General features: G+C 51.3%; 1 protein-coding gene, 1 long non-coding RNA gene and 1 pseudogene across 9 annotated transcripts in view, besides 6 other annotated features; all 3 read left to right on the forward strand.

Annotated features, from left to right (window-relative positions):
- Positions 17–236: an enhancer, noted in NCBI's record as "active region_14313". NCBI's record gives its function as "activates an Ori minimal core promoter by ATAC-STARR-seq in GM12878 lymphoblastoid cells {active_cell/tissue: GM12878}" and the evidence as "EXISTENCE:reporter gene assay evidence [ECO:0000049][PMID:35858748]".
- Positions 435–1,037: an enhancer, noted in NCBI's record as "NANOG-H3K27ac hESC enhancer chr19:18434425-18435027 (GRCh37/hg19 assembly coordinates)". NCBI's record gives its function as "activates a minimal SCP1, AML or CMV promoter by ChIP-STARR-seq in primed H9 embryonic stem cells {active_cell/tissue: H9 hESC(primed)}" and the evidence as "EXISTENCE:reporter gene assay evidence [ECO:0000049][PMID:30033119]".
- Positions 5,154–5,273: an enhancer, noted in NCBI's record as "active region_14314". NCBI's record gives its function as "activates an Ori minimal core promoter by ATAC-STARR-seq in GM12878 lymphoblastoid cells {active_cell/tissue: GM12878}" and the evidence as "EXISTENCE:reporter gene assay evidence [ECO:0000049][PMID:35858748]".
- On the forward strand, positions 5,545–12,655 carry LOC124904654 (uncharacterized). Its single transcript, XR_007067158.1, has 2 exons — positions 5,545–5,599; positions 12,316–12,655. It is a non-coding gene; the product is annotated as an uncharacterized LOC124904654 (long non-coding RNA).
- Positions 10,096–10,393, forward strand: RN7SL513P (RNA, 7SL, cytoplasmic 513, pseudogene; annotated as a pseudogene).
- Positions 17,267–17,456: a silencer, noted in NCBI's record as "silent region_10390". NCBI's record gives its function as "represses an Ori minimal core promoter by ATAC-STARR-seq in GM12878 lymphoblastoid cells {active_cell/tissue: GM12878}" and the evidence as "EXISTENCE:reporter gene assay evidence [ECO:0000049][PMID:35858748]".
- Positions 17,267–17,975: a biological region, named in NCBI's record as "H3K4me1 hESC enhancer GRCh37_chr19:18451278-18451965".
- Positions 17,288–17,975: an enhancer, noted in NCBI's record as "H3K4me1 hESC enhancer chr19:18451278-18451965 (GRCh37/hg19 assembly coordinates)". NCBI's record gives its function as "activates a minimal SCP1, AML or CMV promoter by ChIP-STARR-seq in naive H9 embryonic stem cells {active_cell/tissue: H9 hESC(naive)}" and the evidence as "EXISTENCE:reporter gene assay evidence [ECO:0000049][PMID:30033119]".
- The window catches only part of PGPEP1 (pyroglutamyl-peptidase I), a 29,353-nt gene continuing 26,114 nt past the window's right edge, over positions 17,418–20,656 (forward strand). For 7 of the 8 annotated variants that reach the window (NR_138029.2, NM_001329478.2, NM_017712.4 and 4 more), the window contains exons 1-2: positions 17,418–17,535; positions 19,679–19,731. Coding sequence is in view for 5 of the 8 variants with exons in the window: in NM_017712.4 (NP_060182.1) it covers positions 17,502–17,535; positions 19,679–19,731 (87 nt within the window). In the remaining 3 variants the exon portion in view is untranslated. The remainder of the gene's footprint in view (positions 17,536–19,678; positions 19,732–20,656) is intronic. The other variant, NM_001329477.2, reaches the window with a different exon arrangement.

Below are 20,656 nucleotides of genomic sequence, written 5' to 3' on the forward strand. Positions count from 1 at the left end.
AGTAGGGCGGGGCCCGCTGGGCGAAAGGGCGGGGCGGGCCGTGTTCCCGCCGGAGGAACGAGGACGAGAGCCGTAAAGTGCCGCGGCTTGTAATGCAAAAGGAGGCGGAGCAACGCGCGCCGGCGCGGGGTGCATTGTGAGGAAATGCGTGCGCAGGTGAAACCTTCGTCGGTCTCCTGGGCTCCACGCTGTGGGCAAAGCCAGTTAATGCCTTTCGTTTGCAGTAGAGAGAGAGAAATCGAGGCTTCGTGGTGATTGGGCCGTGCCTGATGTTGCCCTTCCGACTCCTAGTTTTCTGATTCTGTAATTATCCAGGGAACATCATTTAATAGGTTGGAATCCTGACCACGACCCTCGGGGCCTCAGTTTGCTCCCTGTAAATAGTAGTGTCTGCTCCAAAACGTTGCTTACTGTAAGGATGAAATGAATGAAACCATGTAAAAGCACTTAAAACAGCGTCTGGCACATATTAAGTACTTATTACCTACTCTGTGCCTGTTTCTGCTCACAGAATGAACAAAACACAAAATTCGTGGCCCTCAGGGAGACAGACAGTAAACAAAGTAAATAGGCGAATGCTATTAGTTTTCTGGGGCCTGCTGTAACAAATGCCCACACACTGCGAGGTTTAAAACAACAGAACGTGATTTTCTCACAATTCAAGAGATCAGAATAATGAAGTGAGGTTGTCAGCACAGTTGGCTCCCTCTGGAGGCTCTGAGGACAATCTGTGTGTCCTATGCCTCTCTCCTGGGTTCTGGTGGCTGCTGGGAATCCTTGGAGTTCTTGGCTTGTAGATGCAGCCTTCCGCGTTCTGCCTTTGTCGTCACTTGGCCTTCTCTGTGTGTCTCTGAGTCTCAAATGTATCTCTCCTTTTTTTTTTCTTTTTTTTTTTTGTAGTAGAGACAGGGTCTCCCTATGTTGTCCAGGCTGGTCTCGAACTCCTGGGGTCAAGCAATCCTCCCTCCTCTGCCTCCCAAAGTGCTGGGATTACAGGCGTGAGCCACCGAGCCCGGCCGCTCCTTTTTCTTGTAAAGGACACTCCTTTCTCTTATTAAGTCCACCATAAATTTCAGGATAATGTCATCTCAAGATCCTTAATTACATCTGCGAAGACCCTGTTCTTTTTTTTTTGAGATGGAGTCTCATTCTATCACCCAGGCTGCAGTGCAGTGGTGCGATCTCAGCTCACTGCAACCCCTCCCTCCTGGGTTCAAGGGATTCTTCTGCCTCAGCCACCCGAGTGGCTAGGATTACAGGCACATGCCACAATGCCCAGCTAATTTTTGTATTTTTAGCAGAGACGGGGTTTTGCCATGTTGGCCAGGAGGTGGCCTCGAACTCCTGACCTCAGGTGATCCTTCCACCTTGGCCTCCCAAAGTGCTGGGATTACAGGCATGAGTCACCACGCCCAGCCTCGTTTTTAAATGACTGATGCTATTTATTGACATTATTCATAATATCAAAAGACTGAAAAAAACCCAATGCGACCAAATAATAGAGTAATACAGCTATAAAAAGGAATGAAGACAATCTTCATATACTGACATTGAATGGTGTCTGGATATCTTAAGTGAAAAAAACCAAGGTAGAGAACAGTTTTTACAATATGTCCTCTTTTGTGTGCAAAAAGAGAAATACATGCATGTGTATGTGTATATATATTTGCATGTGTGTGTGTATATATATATATATATATATTTTTTTTTTTTAACCACACCAAGCACGTGAACCAAATTTGCTTATATTTTTAATAAGAAACATAAAGGCCAGGCTCAGTGGCTCATGCCTGTAATTGCAGCACTTTGGGAGGCCGCGGTGGGCAGATCACCTGAGGTCAGGAGTTTGAGACCAGCCTGGCCAATATGGTGAAACCCCATCTCTACTAAAAATACAAAAAAATTATCTGGGCATGGTGGCGGGCACCTGTAATCCCAGCTACTCTGGGGGCTGAGGCAGGAGAATTGCTTGACCCCGGGAGGTAGAGGTTGCAGTGAGCCGAGAACGTGCCACTGCACTGCAGCCTGGGCGACAGAGTGAGACTCTGTCTCAAAAAAAAAAAAAAAAAGAAACGTAAAAAGTACGAACCAGGCCAGGAGCGGTGGCCCATGCCTGTAATCCCAGCACTCTGAGAGGCTGAGGTGGCTGGACCACTTGAGCCCAGGAGTTCCAGACCAGCCTGGGAAATACAGCAGCAAAACCCTGAATCTACAAAAAATGCAAACAAGTAGCCAAGTGTGGTGACTGTGCATGAAGTCTCAGCTACTCAGGAGGCTGAGCAGGGAGAACTGCTTGAGCCTAGGAGGCAGAGGTTGCAGTAAGCTGTGATCCTGCCTCTGCACTCCAGCCTGGGTGACAGAGCAACACACTGTCTCAAAACAAACAAACAAAAGAAGCATGAACCAAAATATAGGCCAGGCACGGTGTCTCACACTTTAATCCCAGCATTTTGGGAGGCTGAGGCAGGTGGATCACCTGAGGTCATGAGTTCGAGACCAGCCTGGCCAACATGGTAAAACCCCATCTCTATAAAAATACAAAAATTATCTGGGCGTGGTGGCGCGTGCCTGTAGTCCCAGCTACTCAGAAGGCTGAGGCAGGAGAATCACTTGAACCCGGTTAGGAGGAGGTTACAGTGCATGCCATTGCACTCCAGCCTGGGTGACAGAGCAAGACTCCATCTCAAAAAAAAAAAAAAAAAAAAAAAAGTAACCTGGGAGAATAAGGGAACAAGATGAAATCATAAGAATGAAAGCCAGACTTCTTTCAGTGTACCTTATTGTCTAGTTTCAACTTTGGAAGCATAATTAAAAATAAAAGTCAAAAGGAAAAATCAAAAGAAATCCCTAAAAATGGAAACAAACAAATGAACCTCACTGTATATCAAGTTGCAAAGACCCTATTTCAATTACAGTCACATTCACAGCTACCAGCAGGTTAGGATTTGGATATACGTGTGTGTGTGTGTGTGTAAATTTTTTTACGACTGCGTCCCTCTTGCCCAGGTTGGAGTATAGTGGTGCCATATGGCTTATTGCATCCGCAACTTCCTGGGGTCAAGTGATCCTCCCATCTCAGCCTCTGAGTAGCTGAGACTGCACACAGGTGTCACCGCCACGCCCAGCTTATTTATTAATTTAATTTATTTATTTATTCATTTTGTAGAGATGGGGGTCTGCTTGTTGCCCTGCCCTCACCGTGCTAGCCTCCAACTCCTGGGCTCAAGAGATCCTCCCACCTTGGCCTCCCAAAGTGCCAGGATTATAGGCATGAGCCACCATGCCCAGCTGGGATATATATTTTTAGGGGCTACTACTCATTACATCAAGTATCAGCTGTGGTAGCTTTAAACATAGGCATTTATTTGAGTAGTTTACTTCTCCACAGTGACATGCCTATAGTTTTTTTTTTTTTTTTTTTTTGAAACAGAGTCTCATTCTGTCACTCAGGCTGGAGTACAGTGGCGCGATCTCGGCTCACTGCAACCTCCACCTCCTGGGTTCAAGCGATTCTCCTGCCTCAGCCTCCCAAGTAGCTGGGATTACAGGTGTGCACCACCACACACAGCTAATTTTTGTATTTTTAGTAGAGACGGGGTTTCACCATGTTGGCCAGGCTGGTCTCAAACTCCTGACCTCGGGTGATCCACCTGCCTCGGCCTCCCAAAGCGCTGGGATTGCAGGAGTGAACCACTGTGCCCGGCCAATGACATGCCTATAGTTACATACACTTGCAAGCAGGACTATAACCTGAATTCCTAGAAGAGGCTTATCTAGGTGCCAATCAAAGGTTCCATCCCCTGGCCACATGCCTTGACTTTCAGGCCTACAAATGAGCAATAGGGGACCTCATAAAGTGACTCCTTGTATCCCAGCCTCCTGAGTCTCAGCACTGCCCTGAGAGCCTTTTCTTACCAAGTCCAGGGTGAGGAACTTCTGGCTGAAAGGACCCTATGCCTCTCAGAGCTGAACTGGGGAACCCTTGTTCAACTTCTCAAAGATTTTCCTGCTGGGCATGGCGGAGCACGCCTGTAGTCCCAGCTACTCAGGAGGCCGAGGCAGGATGATCGTTTGAGCCCAGCAGTTCGAAATCCCAATTCCCTGATCCTTCTGACTGGCACCACATCCAGGTGGAGTGGACTCTGGAGGTCTGAGAAAGCCCAGGGAGCCTTATAAGAGGAAGCCAGGCCAGGCGCAGTGGCTCACACGTATAATCCCAGCACTTTGGGACGCCGAGGTGGGAGGAGATCACTTGAGCCAGAAGTTCCAGACCAGACTGGGCAACATAATAAGACCTACGTCTCTACTAAAAATTTTAAAATAGGCCAGGCATGGTGGCTCATGCCTGTAATCCCAGCACTTTGGGAGGCCGAAAGTTCAGGAAAGTTCAGGTTCAGGACCAGCCTGGCCAACATGGTGGAAACCCTGTCTCTACTGAAAAAAAAAAAAAATACAAAAATTAGCTGGGTGTGGTGGTGCGCCTGTAATCCCAGCTACTCAGGAGGCTGAGGTGGGAGAATTGCTTGAACTAGGGAGGTGGAGGCTGCAGTGAGACCAGATTGCACCACCGCACTCCAGCCTAGGCAACAGAGCAAGACCCCATCTCAAAAAAAAAAAAAAAAAGAAAAAGAAAAAGAAAAGAAAATATGGCGAAACCCCATCTCTACTGAAAATACAAAAATTAGGCTGGCGCGGTGGCTTACGCCTGTAATCCCAGCACTTTGGGAGGCCGAGGCAGGTGGATCACCTGAGGTCAGGAGTTCAAGACCAGCCTGGCCAAAATGGTGAAACCCTGTCTGTACTAAAAATACAAAAATTAGCCAGGCGTGTTGGCGGGCGCCTGTAATCCCAGCTACTCAGGAGGCTGAGGCAGGAGAATCGCTTGAACCCGGGAGGCGGAGGTTGCAATGAGCTGAGATCGCACCATTGTACTCCAGCCTGGGTGACAGAGCGAGACTCTGTCTCAAAAAAAAAAAAAAAAAGATTAGCTGGGTGCAGTGGCCTGCGGCTGTAGTCCCAGCTACTTGGGAGGCTGAGGCAAGAGAATCACTTAAGGCCGGAAGGCGCAGTTTGTAGTGAACCGAGATGGTGCCACTGCACTCCAGCCTGGGTGACAAAGTGAGACTCCATCATAAAAAAAAAAAGGAAAGAAACAGGGTCTATGAGGTGTCCCAGCATCAACATGGCGATGAAGGTAGCAGCAAACCGCATGCTGGGTCATCCTTTCTGACTTTTCTAGACTTTTCTACATGCAGTCTTTCTTTTTTTGCACAACTTGCAAACTCCTATTCATCGTTGAAACCTCTGCTTCGGTGTCCCCTTGTGGCAGCCAGTGGTTACTGCAGTTTTTTTGTTTGCCCTTTCAACAGTAAGGGTGGCCAATCAGCGTTCCCCATCCCCCTGGCTACAGGGATTGGTTAAAGAAAGAGCACGGAATTTACCAAGGCCAATGAGATTCTCCCCTGGGAAGGATACCGAGGGCTGGGAGGGAGAAGAGCTGGTTCCTGGGGAGTTAAAGGGAAAGTCCAGCACCCCTTAGGCTCTGTCCTCTGGAAGAAGCTTTCTGCAGAAATAATCCAGCAGACACAAGACAACGGAGGTACTCGGTGGAAAGGGAAGTATGGTTTGAGCCCCTGGATCCAGCTATAGTTGAAGCCACAGCTATGATGAGCTTAAATGAGCCCAAGAAGTTTTTTTTAATTGCTTCATCCACTTGGAATTTGCAGTCTGTCCCTGGCAAAAGAGCCAGTACTAATGCATATCTGCTCTGTGAACTCTTCCTTAGCTGCCTTGCTCAAAAGCTAATCATTCCTTCTCTTATACTTTGAACTTTAGTACCCTCCACTGATTTCCATCATTGCCTGGTTTATGCCATGTTGTAATTGCTTGTTTCAGCCCTCTCAACTTTGACTTGTAGGAGCAAGGACCTAAGAGGTTTCCTGGGGCTCTATTTGGGGCTGTTCAGGACAGTTTACCCTCCCCTATCATCATGAATGCATGACCCAGGCTGGGGCAATCAGAAGGCTTCCCTGGCTGGCTGAGCATGGTGGCTGATGCCTGTAATCCCAGCACTTTGGGAGGCCGGCCGGTGGATCACCTGAGCCCAGGAGTTCGAGACCAGCCTGGGGAACATAGCGAGACCTCATCTCTCCAAAAAAAACTTAAGAAGAATTAGCTGGGCGTGGTGGCACGTGCCTGTAATTCCAACTACTTGGGAGGCTGAGATGGGAAGATGGCTTGAGCTTGGGATTTCGAGGCTGCAGTGAGCCATGATCATGCTACTGCACTCTACCCTGGGTGACAGAGCGAGATCCTATGAAAAAAAAAAAAAAAATCTTCCTTGGGATGGTTTTGGGATTGCAGAGCTGGAGTGATCGGCGATCACAGTCAGGTATAGCCATGGCCATTTCTTCACTGCAGAGTCATGGCCGTGTCTAAGCCTGAGCCCAGCTGTATCTGATGCTTCATAAATCTTCATTCTTCCGTATTCCACTAACCAAAATCCTATTCTGGATCCAGCTTAAATTATATTTCTGACCGGGCACAGTGGCTCACACCTGTAATCCCAGCAATTTGGGATGCCAAGGCGGGTGGATCACCTGAGGTCAGGAGTTCGAGACCAGCCTGGCCAACATGGCAAAACCCTGTCTCTACTAAAAATACAAAAATTAGCCAGGCGTGGTGGTGGGTGCCCGTAATCCCAGCTACTCAGGAGGCTGAGTCAGGAGAATCACTTGAACCCAGGAGGCAGAGGTTGCAGTCAGCCGAGATCATGCCATTGCACTCCAGCCTGGGCAACAAGAGCAAAACTCTGTCTCAAAAAAAAAAAAATTGTATTTCTTCCAGCAGAAACCTAAGAAGTCTAGATCAATGTACGTCTCCAACTAACAAAAATACCCTACCCACTACTAAAAAAAAAAGAACAGCATAAAAGCCAGTACTGGCAAGGTTGTGATGAAACTGGCAAACATGTGTTTCCTTTTAAATGGGAAAAAAGTTGGTATTATATCTCAAAAGCTATAAAAGTATCACACCCTTCAGCTCAGCAATCCATTTCTGAACATTTCTACTAAGGAAGTCTTTCGGGTGAAGGGAACCACCATGCCAGGGCCTCACAGCAATATCGCCAATTCTAAAAGAGCAATATTTTGCTGGGCGCAGTGCCTCACACCTGTAATCCCAACACTTTGGGAGGCCAAGGCGGGTGGATCACTTAAGGTCAGGAATTCAAAACCAGCCTAGCCCAACATGGCAAGACCCCGTCTCTACTAAAGGTACAAAAACTAGCCAGCCATGGTGGCGTGTGCCTGTAATCCCAGCTACTTGGGGGGCTGAGGCATGAAAATCGCTTGAACCTGGGAGGTAGAGGTTGCAGTGAGCTGAGATCACGCCATTGCACTCCAGCCGGGGCAACAGAGTGAGACTCCATCTTAAAAGTAAATAAGTAAATAGCAGGTTTTTTTAAAAAAAATTAGCTGGGCCAGGCGAGGTGGCTCACGCCTGTAATCCCAGCACTTTGGGAGGCCAAGGCGGGCGGATCACGAGATCAAGAGATCAAGACCATCCTGGTCCACATGGTGAAACCCCATCTCTACTAAAAATACAAAAATTAGCTGGGCATGGTGGTGATCACCTGCAATCCCAGCTGTTTGGGAGGCTGAGGCAGAAGAATCGCTGGAGTCCAGGAGGTGGAGGTTGTAAAGAGCTGAGATCGCGCCAGTGCACTCCAGCCTGGGCAACAAGAGTGAAACTCCGTCTCCAAAAAAAAAAAAAAAGGAAACGCAGACACCCTCCTGGGTTGCGCTTCGCTGGTCAAGGCAGTGACCCTCTCCCATCCGGGGAACCAGGAGCCTCACATGGATCAGGCCCTTCCTGATCCATGGCCACCTGAGCTGAAACAAAATATCATTTGTACCTTGCCCAGTGCATTCCTGGGGTGCAGGCAACCAAAGAACAGAGGTTCATTTGCCCCTGTCCTTGGCCGCCTTCATATCCCAGAGTCAGAAGAAGCAGAGATTCCTCAAATGGGTTTTGTTTTGTTTTGTTTTGTTTTTGTTTTTGTTTTTACTATTTTGAGACGGAGTTTCGCTCTTGTTGCCCAGGCTGGAGTGCAGTGGCGTGATCTCAGCTCACTGCAACTTCTGCCTCCTGGGTTCAAGCAATTCTCCTGCCTCAACCTCCTGAGTAGCTGAGATTACAGGCATGTGTCACCACGCCCGGGTAATTTTGTATTTTTAGTAGAGACCGGGTTTCTTCATGTTGGTCAGGCTGGTCTTGAACTCCCGACCTCAGGTGATCCACCTGCCTCAGCCTCCCAAAGTGCTGGGATTACAGGCGTGAGCCACTGCACCCAGCCATGGGGTCTTTCTTTCTTTTTTTTTTTTTTTTAAGACAGAGTCTCAGAAAGACCCCCTCAAGTGGGGTCTTGAAACTTCCTCCACTGTCCACCTACGCCCAGTGGCCTGGTAGAAGTTCCTTAGATGGGCACGGAGACTGCTGGATCCAGCCCCCCTTCATCCTGCACACATCTCTGCCCCCGCGCATTAATTGTGCACCTACTGTGTGCTGGCACAGACTAAAGGGAAAGAAGACCCAGCCTCAACGTTCAAACTACTCCAGGCGAAAAGAGGGAGAGGCAGGAGTGGGGAGTGGAGCAGTAAATATACCCTCCAAGGGGCGGGCCAGGGCTGGATGTGGGAGCAGGGGCCATGGGCAGTGGCTGACCACCAAAAGCACATCTGTGGGCCTAGTCTTTTTGTTGTTGTTGTTTGAGACAGGGTCTCACTCTGTTGCCCAGGCTGGAGTGCAGTGGCAAGATGGTAGCTCAGGCCAGGTGCGGTGGCTCACACCTGTAATCCCAGCACTTTGGGAGGCTGAGGTGGGCAGATCACTTGAGGCCAAGAGTTCGAGACTAGCCTAGCCAACATGGTGAAACCCCATCTCTGCTAAAAATACAAAAATTAGCTAAGTGTGATGGCGCGTGCATGTAATCCCTGCTACTTGGGAGGCTGAGGCAGGAGAGTCACTTGAACCTGGGAGGTGGAGGTTGTAGAGAGCCAAGATCACACGACTGCACTCCAGCCTGGGCAACAGAGTGAGACTCCATCTCAAAAAAAAAAAATAAATAAAAGGATAATAGCTCACTGCAGCATTGAACTCCTGGACTCAAGTGATCCTCCTGTTTCAGCCTCCTGAGAACCTGGGACCTGATGAGCTCGCTACCACCTTCGGGTGATTTTAAAATTTTTTGTAGAGATAGGGTTGCACAGCCTGGTCTTGAATTCCTGGACTCAACTCATCCTCCTGCCTCCACCTCCCAAGTATGAGCCTTGTCTTCTAGCCTGAGCTCCCCAAAGGCTTCACTATCTCCAGACACCGCCTGGAGAAAAAGGACACATTCATCCTTTAAGAATGCATGTCTGGGCCAGCCACGGTGGCTCATGCCTGTAATCCCAGCACTTTGGGAGGCCAAGGCAGGTGGATCACCTGAGGTCAAGAGTTTGAAACCAGCCTGGCCAACATGGCAAAACCCTGTCTCTACTGAAAATACAAAAAAGTAACCAGGCGTAGTGGCAGACAACTGTAATCTCAACTACTCGGGAGGCTGAGGCAGGACAATTGCTTCAACCTGGGAGGCAGAGGTTGCAATGAGCCGAGATCGTGCCATTGCACTCCAGCCTGGGTGACAAGAACGAGACTGTGTTTAAAAAACAACAACAACAACAACAACAAAGAATGCATGTCTGCCCAGACATCTCTCTCCCTACCATGGCCATGAGGCCCCCTGCAGTCCTCAAACTGGGCTTGGTTTACTCTGACAGAGCCAAAAGGACAGAGCCCTAACGCAGAGCCGTGTCGTCCCCATGAGCTCCAAATCTCCCTCCCTTCCAAGGCCACTCCTATTAGCAACTGGCAAAGCCCAGAGAGGCTTGGAGCCCCCAGGGGCAGGATCTGAGCGCCGGTGCAGAGTCCATGAGTCCTGCCTTCCCCCACCTGGCTCCCTAGGGCTTGGGTTCAGGGTGGCCTTAGTCCTCAGAAGCTCCCCAAACTTCCCTGGGTTGTGGAGGTGGGAGGCTAGAGAAAAATGTAGCTTCTGCCCAGCGCAGCGATACACATCCGTGATCCCAACTACTCGGGAGGCTGAGGCAGGAGGATCACACGAGCCCAGGAGTTGTGGGCTGTAGCGCACTGTGCTGATTGGGTGTCCACATTAAGTCTGGCATCAATATGGTGACCTCCCGGAGCAGGGAACCACCAGGTTGCCCAAGGAGGGGTGAACCAGCCTAGGTTGGAAACGGAGATGGTCAAAACTCCAGTGCTGATCCGTAGCGGGATCATGCCTGTGACTAGCCACTGCACTCCAGCCTGGTCGACAGAGTGAGACCCTGTCTCTAAAAAAGATAAATTTTAGGCTGGGCGAGTGGCTTATGCCTGTAATCCCAGCACTTTGGGAGGCTGAGGCAGGCGGATCACTTGAGGTCAGGAATTCCAGACCAGTACGGTGAAACTCTGTCTCTACAAAAATACCAAAAAAAAAAAAATTAGCCAGGCGGTGAAACTCTGTCTCTACAAAAATACAAAAAAAAAAAAAAAAATTAGCCGGGCATGATGACCTGCGCCTGTGGCCCCACCTACTCCGGAGGCTGAGGCACAAGAATTGCTTATACCTGGGAGGTGGGGTGAGCCAAGATTGCACCACTGCACTCCGGCCTGGGTGACTGAGCAAGATTCTCTCTAGAAAAAAAAAGAGATACATTTAAAAAATGCAGCTTGTTTTGCAAACCAACATCCAGCTTGGCAGGTTTTGCTCTATTTAGCATTTTTTTGTTTGTTTGGTTTTTTTTTAGATAGGTATTGCTCTGTTGCTCTGGCTGGTCTCACACTCCTGGCCTCAAGCAATCCTCCCACCTCACCTTCCCAAAGCGCTGGGATTACAGCAGGGGTCCCCAACCCCTGGGCTAAGGACTGGTACCAGTCTGTGGCCTGTTAGGAACCAGGCCGCACAGCAGTAGGTGAGCAGCGGGCAAACCAGTGAAGCTTCATCTGTATTTACAGCCAGTACCCATCACTCCCCAGTATCTCCTGAGCTCCGCCTTCTGCCAGACCAGCAGCAGCAGCATTAGATTCTCATAGGAGTGTGAACCCTATTGTGAACTGCACATGTGAGGGATCTAGATTGTGCACTCCTTATGATAATCTAATGCCTGATGATCTGAGGTGGAACAGTTTCATCCTGAAAACATCTTCATCCCCCCCAACCCCCAAGTGCATGGAAAAATTGTCTTCCATAAAACCAGTCCTTGGTGCCAAAAAGATTGGGGACTGCTGGATTACAGGCATGAGCCTCTGCGTCAGGCTTCACAGCATTGTTTTTTGTTTGTTTGTTTTTTTGAGACAGACTCTCGCTCCGTTGCCCACGCTGGAGTTCAGTGGTGCGATCTCGGCTCACTGCAACCTCCACCTCCCAGATTCAAGCGATTCTCCTGCCTCAGCCTCCTGAGTAGCTAGGATTACAGGCATGCACCACCATGTCTGGCTGATTTTTGTATTTTTAGTAGAGATAGGGTTTCACCATGTTTGCCGGGCTGGTCTTGAACTCCTGACTTCAAATGATCCACCCGCCTTGGCCTCCCAAAGTGGTGAGATTACAGGTGTGAGCCACCGTGCCCGGCCATTTATTTTATTATTTATTTATTTTTATTATTTTATTTTATTTTATTGAGATGGAGTCTCGCTCTGTCTCCCAGGCTGGAGTGCAGTGGCGTGATCTCGGCTCACTGCAAGCTCCGCCTCCCGGGTTCACGCCATTCTCCTGCCTCAGTCTCCTGAGTAGCTGGGACTACAGGTGCCCGCCACCATGCCCTGCTAATTTTTTGTATTTTTAGTAGAGACAGGGTTTCACCGTGTTAGCCAGGATGGTGTTGATCTCCTGATCTCGTGATCCGCCCGCCTCGGCCTCCCAAAGTGCTGGGATTACAGGCGTGAGCCACCGCGTGTGGCCTATTTATTTATTCATTGAGACAGAGTCTCGCTCCGTCGCTCAGGCTGGAGCGGAGTGGTGCGATCTTGGCTCACTGCAATCTTTGCCGCCTGAATTCAAGCGATTCTCCTGCCTCAGCCTCCAAAGTAGCTGGAATCACAGGCATGTGCCACTGATACGGGAGTGCTGGGATGGGGGGAGCGTGGTGCCTTTAAATGATAGGGAAGGGAAGTGCGGGGTAAAGGAGGGCCTGGTCCCTGGCTAGGGCTCCACCCCCAGAGACCTAGGTGAGGATCCGCACTCCCGCCTTCGTGCCCAAATATTGCATTTTCCAGGACCACACTGGCCCGCCACGCCCCCATCCTGTGCCTATAAAAACCCGAGACCCTAGCGGGCAGACACACAAGCTGCTGGACGTCTTGACGTACACATCCATGGAAGAAGATACAAGTGGCTGGACAGCGAGAGGACGTCGAGGGAGCACGCTCGCGGAAGGGCACACTGGCATGCAGGCGGGTAGTCGACCAGTGGAACTAGGCTGAGTTTGGCCTGGGCAGTCAGAGGAGAGCTGGGGCCGCCTAGCGACCCAACTCCAGAGAAAGACCATCTCCCTTCTCGCTCCCCCATCTACTGAGGGCTACTTCCACTCAATAAAACTTCATACTCATTCTCCAAGCCCAGGTGTGATCTCATTCTTCTGGTACACCAAGGCAAGAAACCCCAGGATACTAAAATCCCTCTGTCTGGGCTGGGCGCAGTGGCTCATGCCTGTAATCCCAGGACTTTGGGAGGCCTAGGTGGGTGTATCACTCAAGGTCAGGAGTTTGAGACCAGCCTGGCCAACATGGTGAAACCCCATATCTACTAAAAATAAAAAAAATTAGCCAGGTAAGGGTGCGGTCACCTGTAGTCCTAGCTACCTGGGAGGCTGAGGCAGGAGAATCACTTTGAACCCGGGAGGCGGAGATGGCAGTGAACCAAGATCAAGCCACTGCACTCCAGCCTAGGGGACAGAGCGAGAGTCTGTCTCAAAAAAAAAAAAAAAGAAAAGAAAAGAAAAAAAGAAAAGAAATCCCTCTGTCCTTGTGACAAGGTAGAGGATCTAACTGAGCTGGTAAGCTGCCTATAGATGGCAAACTAAAAAAAGCAACCTGTAACACACGCCCCCTGGGGCTTCAGGAGCTGTAAACATTCACCCCGGACACTGCTGTGGGGTCAGAGTCCCACAGCCTGCCCATCTATATGCTCCCCTAGAGGTCTGAGTAGAGGAGCACTTCAGAAGCAAGCCACACCCCCATCGCCCACCCTGCGAGGGGAACAAGGGAACCTTTCCCGTTTCACCACCATGCCTGGCTAATATTTTTGTATTTTTAAGAGACAGGGTTTTCCCATGTTGGCCAGGCTGGTCTTGAACTCCTGGCCTCAAGCAATCCACCTGCCTCAGCCTCCCAAAGTGCTGGGATTATAGGCATGGGCCACCACACCCAGCCACAGTCATCCAATTCATAGAGACAGAAAGTGGAATGTTGGGTGCTAGGGGCTGAGGGAGGGGAATAGGGAGGGAGCGTTTAATAGGTATGGAGCTTGTTTGGGAAGAACAAGTTCTGGAGATGGATGGTGGTAATGGTTCCACAACAATGTGAACGTACTTAATGCTACCCAAGGGTATGCTTAAGATGGTAAATTTTATGTTATGTACATGTTACTACAAACCACTGCCCCCCAACCCCGGCCGAGGCGGGCAGATCACTTGAGGTCAGGAGTTTGAGACCAGCCTAGCCAACATGGAGAAACCCCATCTCTACTAAGAATACAAAAATTAGCCAAGCATGGTGGCGTGCACCTGTAGTCCCAGCTATTTGGGAGGCTGAGGCAGAAGAATGACTTGAACCTGGGAGACAGAGGCTGCAGTGAGCCAAGATCGTGCCACTGCACTCCGGCCTGGGTGACAGTCTCAAAAAAAAAAGTTCCTCCAAGTTGGGCATGGTGGCACATGCCTGTAGTCCCAGTTACTTGGGAGGCTGGGGTGGGAGGATGGCTTGACCCCAGGGGGTGGAAGCTGCAGTGAGCTGTGACTGTGCCACTGTGCTCCAGTCTGTGAGACAAAGCAAGATCATATCTCAAAAAACAAAAATATGGCCCAAACATGATTAGGGCTACGAGTGAACATTAGCCTTTACGCCAGTCACTGGGGCAGTGGGGCATGACTCAGTTTCTCCCCATCACTGCTGACTCTACATGTTTTCGTTCCTCCCATTGCAATTGAGGAAACTAAAATCCACTGTCACTTCCCTCTCGCCTTCCCTCTTCTAGCAACGCACATACTCCACACCAGGCACGTATGACATATTCAGGTTATAAAACCTGCCTTTGGGTGAGTGGTTTTTTTGTTTTGTTTTGTTTTTTTCTGAGACGGAGTCTCGCTCTGTCGCTTAGGCTGGAGTGCAGTGGCACGATCTCAGCTCACTGCAACTTCCGCCTCCTGGGTTCAAGTGATTCTCCTGGCTCAGCCTCCCCAGTAGCTGGGACTACAGGCACGCGCCACCACTCACTGCTAGTTTTTTGCATTTTTAGTAGAGACAGGGTTTCACCATGTTGGCCAGGCTGGTCTCGAATTCCTGACCTCAAGTGATCCGCCTGCCTCGGCCTCCCAAAGTGCTGGGATTACAGGCGTGAGCCACTGCGCCTGGCCAGGTTAGTGTTTTGATCTGCTCTTTTCTCCCTCTTGGCTTGGACCTCATTCCCTGGCCAGCTCAGACAGCTCTCTGATGTTCTGCATTCTACCTGAAGCTGCTAAAGACCAAAATAGCCACTGAGCGTGTGACCTGGGGTGTGGGCTTCCAAACAGGGCTCAGGGGCAGTCTAGAGAACTCTGCCCTTGGTGTTGGAGGAATTCGGGGGTGGAGCCAGTAAACACCATAGTACCAGCTGGGCACGGTGGCTCATGTCTGTAATCTCAGCACTTTGGGAGGCCAAGGCAGGCAGATCACCTGATGTCAGGAGTTCAAGACCAGCCTGGCCAACATGGTGAAACCCCATCCCTACTAAAAATGCAAAAATTAGCCGGGCACGGTGGCAGGTGCTGGTAGTCCCAGCTATTCAGGAGGCTGAGGCAGGAGAATCGCTTGAACCCAGGGGCCGGAGGTTGTAGTGAGCCTAGATCGTGCTATTGCACCCCAGCCTGGGCGACAGAGTGAGACTCTGTCTCAAACAAACAAACAAAAAACCATAGTGTCTTGGCGAATGATGGCAAAGTCAAAGTGGAACGGGCTATCAGTGAACCACACAGTCAGGAGTTCTGGCTCATGCCTGTTATCCCAGCACTTTAGGAGGCTGAGGCAGGAGGATTGCTTGAGCCCAGGATTTCAAGACCAACCCAAACAGGCAACATAGCAAGACCTCGTCCCTACAAAAAATATAAAAATTAGCCGGGCATGGCAGCACGCGCCTGTAGTCCCAGCTACTCGGGAGGCTGAGGTGGAAGAATTGCTTTAGCCTTGGAGATTAAGGCTGCAGTGAGCTGTGATCGCTCCATTGCTCTCCAGCCTGGGCAAAAGAACAAGATCCTGTCTAAAAAAAAAAAAAAAAAAAAAATTCGTGACCCAAGTCCAAGGTCCAGTCCTGTTTCTGAAGATGTGGCCAGAAACTCAGCTTTCATTTTCTACCTGTTTTTAGAGGAATTCTGGTCTCTGATGAATGTTGGCAGAATGTGCCTGGGGATGTGCTGGGTGTTGAGACGCAGCTCTAACAGAACAACGCTTCCTCCTCTAGAAGTTCTCATCTCTATGTCGGAGGAAACGGGAAGCCAACCAGAGAGGCTGTGACCATACTAAATGATTTCTGCTTAATAATACCTGGGGAGGGGGCCGGAGGCAGTGGTTCACGCCTGTAATCCCAGCACTTTGGGAGCTGAAAAGGGTGGATCACCTGAAGTCAGGAGTTCGAGACCAGCCTGGCCAACATGGTGAACCTCCCTCTCTACTAAAAATACAAAATTAGCTGGGTATGGCGGCACTCGCCTGTAATCCCAGCTACTTGGGAGGCTGAGGTGGGAGAATTGCTTGAACCCGGGAGGCAGAGGTTGCAGTGAGCCAAGATCACACCACTGCACTCCAGCCTGGGTGACAAGAGTGAAACTACGTCTCAAATAAATAAATACATATATAATTTCTGCTTAATAATACCTGGGGGACTAAATAATCTGTACAACAAACCCCATGACACGAGTTTATCTATATAACAAACCTGCACATGTACCCCAAAACTTAAAAGCTAAAAAAAATTAAAAATGATTTCTGGCCAGGTGTGCTGGTTTACACCTGTAATCCCAGCACTTTTGGGAGGCCAAGGTGTGCGGATTGCTTGAGCTCGGGAGTTCGAGACCAGCCTGTGCAACACTATGAAACCCCCATCTCTACAAAAATACAAAAATTAGCTGGGTGTGGTGCCACACACCTGTAGTCCCAGCTACTCAGGAGGCTGAGATGTGAGGATCAGTTGAGCCCTGGAGGTCAAAGTTACAGAGCTATGATTTTGCCACTGCACTCCAGCCTGGGTAACAGAGTGAGACCCTGTCTCCAAAAAAAAGAGAGAGAAAGGAAATTATTTCTGAGCTTTATTGCTATGAAGAGGATGGAACCAGGGAATGAGATGGAACCACTGGGGGGTAGCAGTGAGGTCATTTCAGCCAAGGAGGGCCAGAAGGAACCCTCAGAGGAGGTAATAGGATAGCAGGGAGGTGATAGCCAGAGAAGGCCACAAGGAGAAAGTGACAGTTCACCCCTCGGAGGAGGTGACAGCCAGGACAGGAGGAGGGCCCCTGGGAGGAGGCGACATTGGAACACTGGAGCTGAGGCCTGAAGGAGGCCAGCTTCGCAGGTACCTGCGGGGTGTGTTCCGGCAGAGGGAACAGCAGGTACAATCGCCCTCCCCCATTAGCCTCCTAGGACCATGGGGGCCTGCAGAGAAACTTCTGGCACCACACAAATATGGTTGTCGTGTTTTTCCTTTTTTACTCTGTCCTCCCCCACCCCCGCCAACTTCCTGGCCTGAATGCTGCTCCTGTGACCCCTTGAGGCGAGTGACCTCGGGGAAGTGGCATTCTGTGCCTCAGTTTCCTTATCTGGAAAACGGGCCTTGCTCGCGGGGACTTCCCTCCCTAATTCTGCGCAGTATGCATGCATAGGGCAGGCCCTCAATGAACCCTTGCAGAATAAAGGACCGGCTCATCCCCAGCACCTGGCTCAGTGCGTGCAAGCGGCTACACACTACGGCATAAGATGTTCCCATTTTGCAGACGGGGAAACGGAGGCTGGGGAATACCGGGCCTAGCCGACGGGGGCGGGGCGCAGGGCGCGCACGCTGCGTCTCGGGCCCGGGGGCGCGCACGCCGAGCGGCTGACCGGGGGCGAGGCCGGGGGCTTGACAGGGGCGTGGCCTCGCGCGGCCGAGAGGCTGCAGCGGCAGCAGCTGTCGCGCCAGTCGCAACAGAAGCAGGTCCGAGGCACAGCCCGATCCCGCCATGGAGCAGCCGAGGAAGGCGGTGGTAGTGACGGGTACGCTGGCTGATGGGGGCTGTAGCGGCAGCGGCCGGGGGCAGAGGCGGGGGCGGCTCCGGGACTGCGGGGCCGAGAGGGGCAGGTGCTGGAAGTCCTCTCAGATTTGGAAGGTGTCATCACCCGCGGGAGCCCCGCGCAGCCCAGGCTTCCTGGAAAGTGGAGGAGGAGGAGCCTTGGGGGTCCCAGGGTCGGGAGTCAGGGCAGTCGGGCGCGGGGCTTGGGGGGCCGGGCAAAAGCCCGGCGCTGCGCAGGCCCCCCTGGCGTCCTTTCCTCCCAAGGTGGGGATGGTGACCCTCCTGGCACCTGCCTCCTCTGTCTGGCCTGCGGGCTGGACTGGACCCTTCCTCCCTGCCCCTTCCGAGGTCCAGCCTGTCCCCACACCGCTCCCCCAACCCCTGGCCCCAGGGGACAAAGGCCGATTTGCGGGCAGGAAGTGTCCCAGTGACAAATGAACCTCCCAGTCACTGCTCGCCGCGCCCTGCGCTCCTGGGGGGCTACTCTCCCAAGGCAGGGGCAGGTGGGGGTCCGGGGACCTCGGGCTCTCCCAGCTGTCCCAGGGACTGTCTTCAGCGGAAACCTTTTTGTGTTTTGTGCCAGGGCTGTTTGTTGGTGAGTCAGGGCCCCTGCTGTCACCGACTCCCCCCCACCCCCAAACCAACTGTTTCTCCTCCCTGAGACTCCGCCTCGGGGCCACGTGGGGCGCCAACTTCCGCTGGGGCCTCAGAGTCAAGGAGTGGGGGGGTCATTTTGACCTGCTGTCTGGAGGGGTCAGAGTGGGAAATCCAGCAAAGGTGCACACAGGTGTTTTGTGGCTGTTGAAGGGAGATTGAGGCTGATCCAGGAGATTCAGGGAAGAAGGAAGAAACAAGGCACCTGCTTAACAGGTGTGTATAATTGGGAGGAGGGTCACTGCCCCCATCCCTTCCAGCCTTCCTTTATCTGGTTATTTATTCCAGCACTTTTTGCATGAGCTGATTACATCTTTACTGTCTCCATTTTGCAGAAAGGGAAACTGAGGCTCACAGAGGTCATCCAGTTTGTAAGGGGCTGAGCTGAGACTCAAACTTTGGCTGTACAGAAGGATAGAGTTAGGAGGTCCCCTCCTGAGCCACAGCCCCTACCTGCTATCCCAGGCTACAGCATCTCTGCATAGCATTCATATCCTGTGGGATCACTGGCCCAGATGGACCGTATTTTTTTTTTTTTGAGACGGAGTTTTGCTCTTGTTGCCCAAGCTGGAGCACAACGGCGCGATCTCGGCTCACTGCAACCTTCGCCTCCTGGGTTCAAGCGATTCTCCTGCCTCAGCCTCCTGAGTAGCTGGAATTACGGGCACGCATCACCCCATCTGGTTAATTTTTTGTATTTTTAGTAGAAACGGGGTTTCACCATGTTGGCCAGGCTGGTCTCAAACTTCTGACCTCAGGTGATCCGCCCGCCTTGGCCTCCCAAAGTGCTGGAATTACAGGCATGAGCCACCGCACCCAGCCCCAGATCTGGATTTGAATCCCAGCTTTTTCACCTTCTTGCTGTGTGACCTTGGGCAGCTAGCTTCACCTCTCTGTGCCTCAGTCCCTGCTCCTGGAAACTGGGCCTAGGAAACACCCTTGCCTGAAAGGGGATGTGGCCAGGCTTAATGCCAGGAAGATCACTTAGCACAGCCTTGGGCGACTGTCGTGTTTTGGAAAGGGGGCCTGGAGTTTGAGCTAGCAGGGAGGAGGGTGACAAGGTGAAATCTAGACAGCCTGGAGGGCTCATTCCTCATTTGGTGCCGATTCAGGGCATTTTGGGACAGTGACACAATAATTGTAGGTTGAGTCAAGGGGACCAGAGGAAGTGAAGACAGGATCAGGACCTTTTCGGAGGCAGAAGATACCTCTGGCCCCTGGCTGAGCATGAGGGGCAGGTGGAGGTGAAGACAGGAAGGGACTCATTGACTTCAGAGCGGACAGGTGCAGGACGGCGGCTCTGACGGGCCTCCAGGTGCTCCCAGAACTCAGGACCAGGCCCCCAATGTTGTCCTTGGCAGCTGCGCCCTGAAGCTCCTTTCTTGCTTCTCCAGGTGGGAGTAGCGGCCAGGCCAGGGGCAGACTGGGAAGGGCCACTCTTGGGTAATATATTGCTTTTCCTGTTTTTTCAGGATTTGGCCCTTTTGGGGAACACACCGTGAACGCCAGTTGGATTGCAGTTCAGGTAACTTAGATCCGGAGGGTGGGAGTCAGGCTTGGAGCTGGGCACACCCCAGAAAGTTATGGCATCCAAGAAGGTCCCCTTTTAACAAAAACTTTTTTTTTTTTTTGAGACGAAATCTTACTCTGTCACCCAGGCTGGAATGCAATGGCACAATCTCAGCCCACTGCAACCTTCGCCTCCTGGGTTTAAGCGATTCTCCCACCTCAGCCTCCAGAGTGGCAGAGATTATAGGTGGCTGCCACCACGCCCGGCTAATTTTTGTATTTTTAGTAGAGTCGGGGTTTCACCATGTTGGCCAGGCTGGTCTCGAACTCCTGACCTCAAGTAATCCTCCTGCCTCAGCCTCTTAAAATGCTGGAATTACAGGCGTGAGCCACTACGCCCAGCCAGCTCTTAAAAAACGATGTCGGATCCACATCTCTTCCTGGATGGTAACCACCGGAGCACACATCTGTTGAGTGTTTGTACCCCAGCGCTCTGAATCCTCCCAACAACCCATGCATAGTACGTGTAGTTATTCTTGTGCCCACTTAACAGAATAGGAAACTGAGGCCCAGAGGAGGGATGAAGGGAGTTCTCCGAGGTCACACAGCCAAGAAATGGGAGTGGCATTGCCTCAGAAGTGCCCCAGGCCCTGGCCAGCGGCTACAGATCTGGGTCTGGAGGGCCAGGTGTGGATATAAACGTAGCTGGTTTCCAGGACACAGCTGTTTATGTGGTGCTGGCGTCTACTTTACCTAGGAATTATCCAACTCTAGGATCTCCCTCTTTTTTTTTTTTTTTTTTTTTTGAGACGAAATCTCACTCTGTTGCCCAGGCTGGAGTGCAGTGGCGCGATCTTGGCTCACTGCAACCTTGCCTTCTGGGTTCAAGCGATTCTCCTGCCTCAGCCTCCAGAGTAGCTGGGATTACAGGCACCTGCTAC

The sequence above is a fragment of the Homo sapiens genome, chromosome 19 (assembly GCF_000001405.40).
Source record: "Homo sapiens chromosome 19, GRCh38.p14 Primary Assembly".
Classification (NCBI taxonomy): Eukaryota; Metazoa; Chordata; class Mammalia; order Primates; family Hominidae; genus Homo; species Homo sapiens.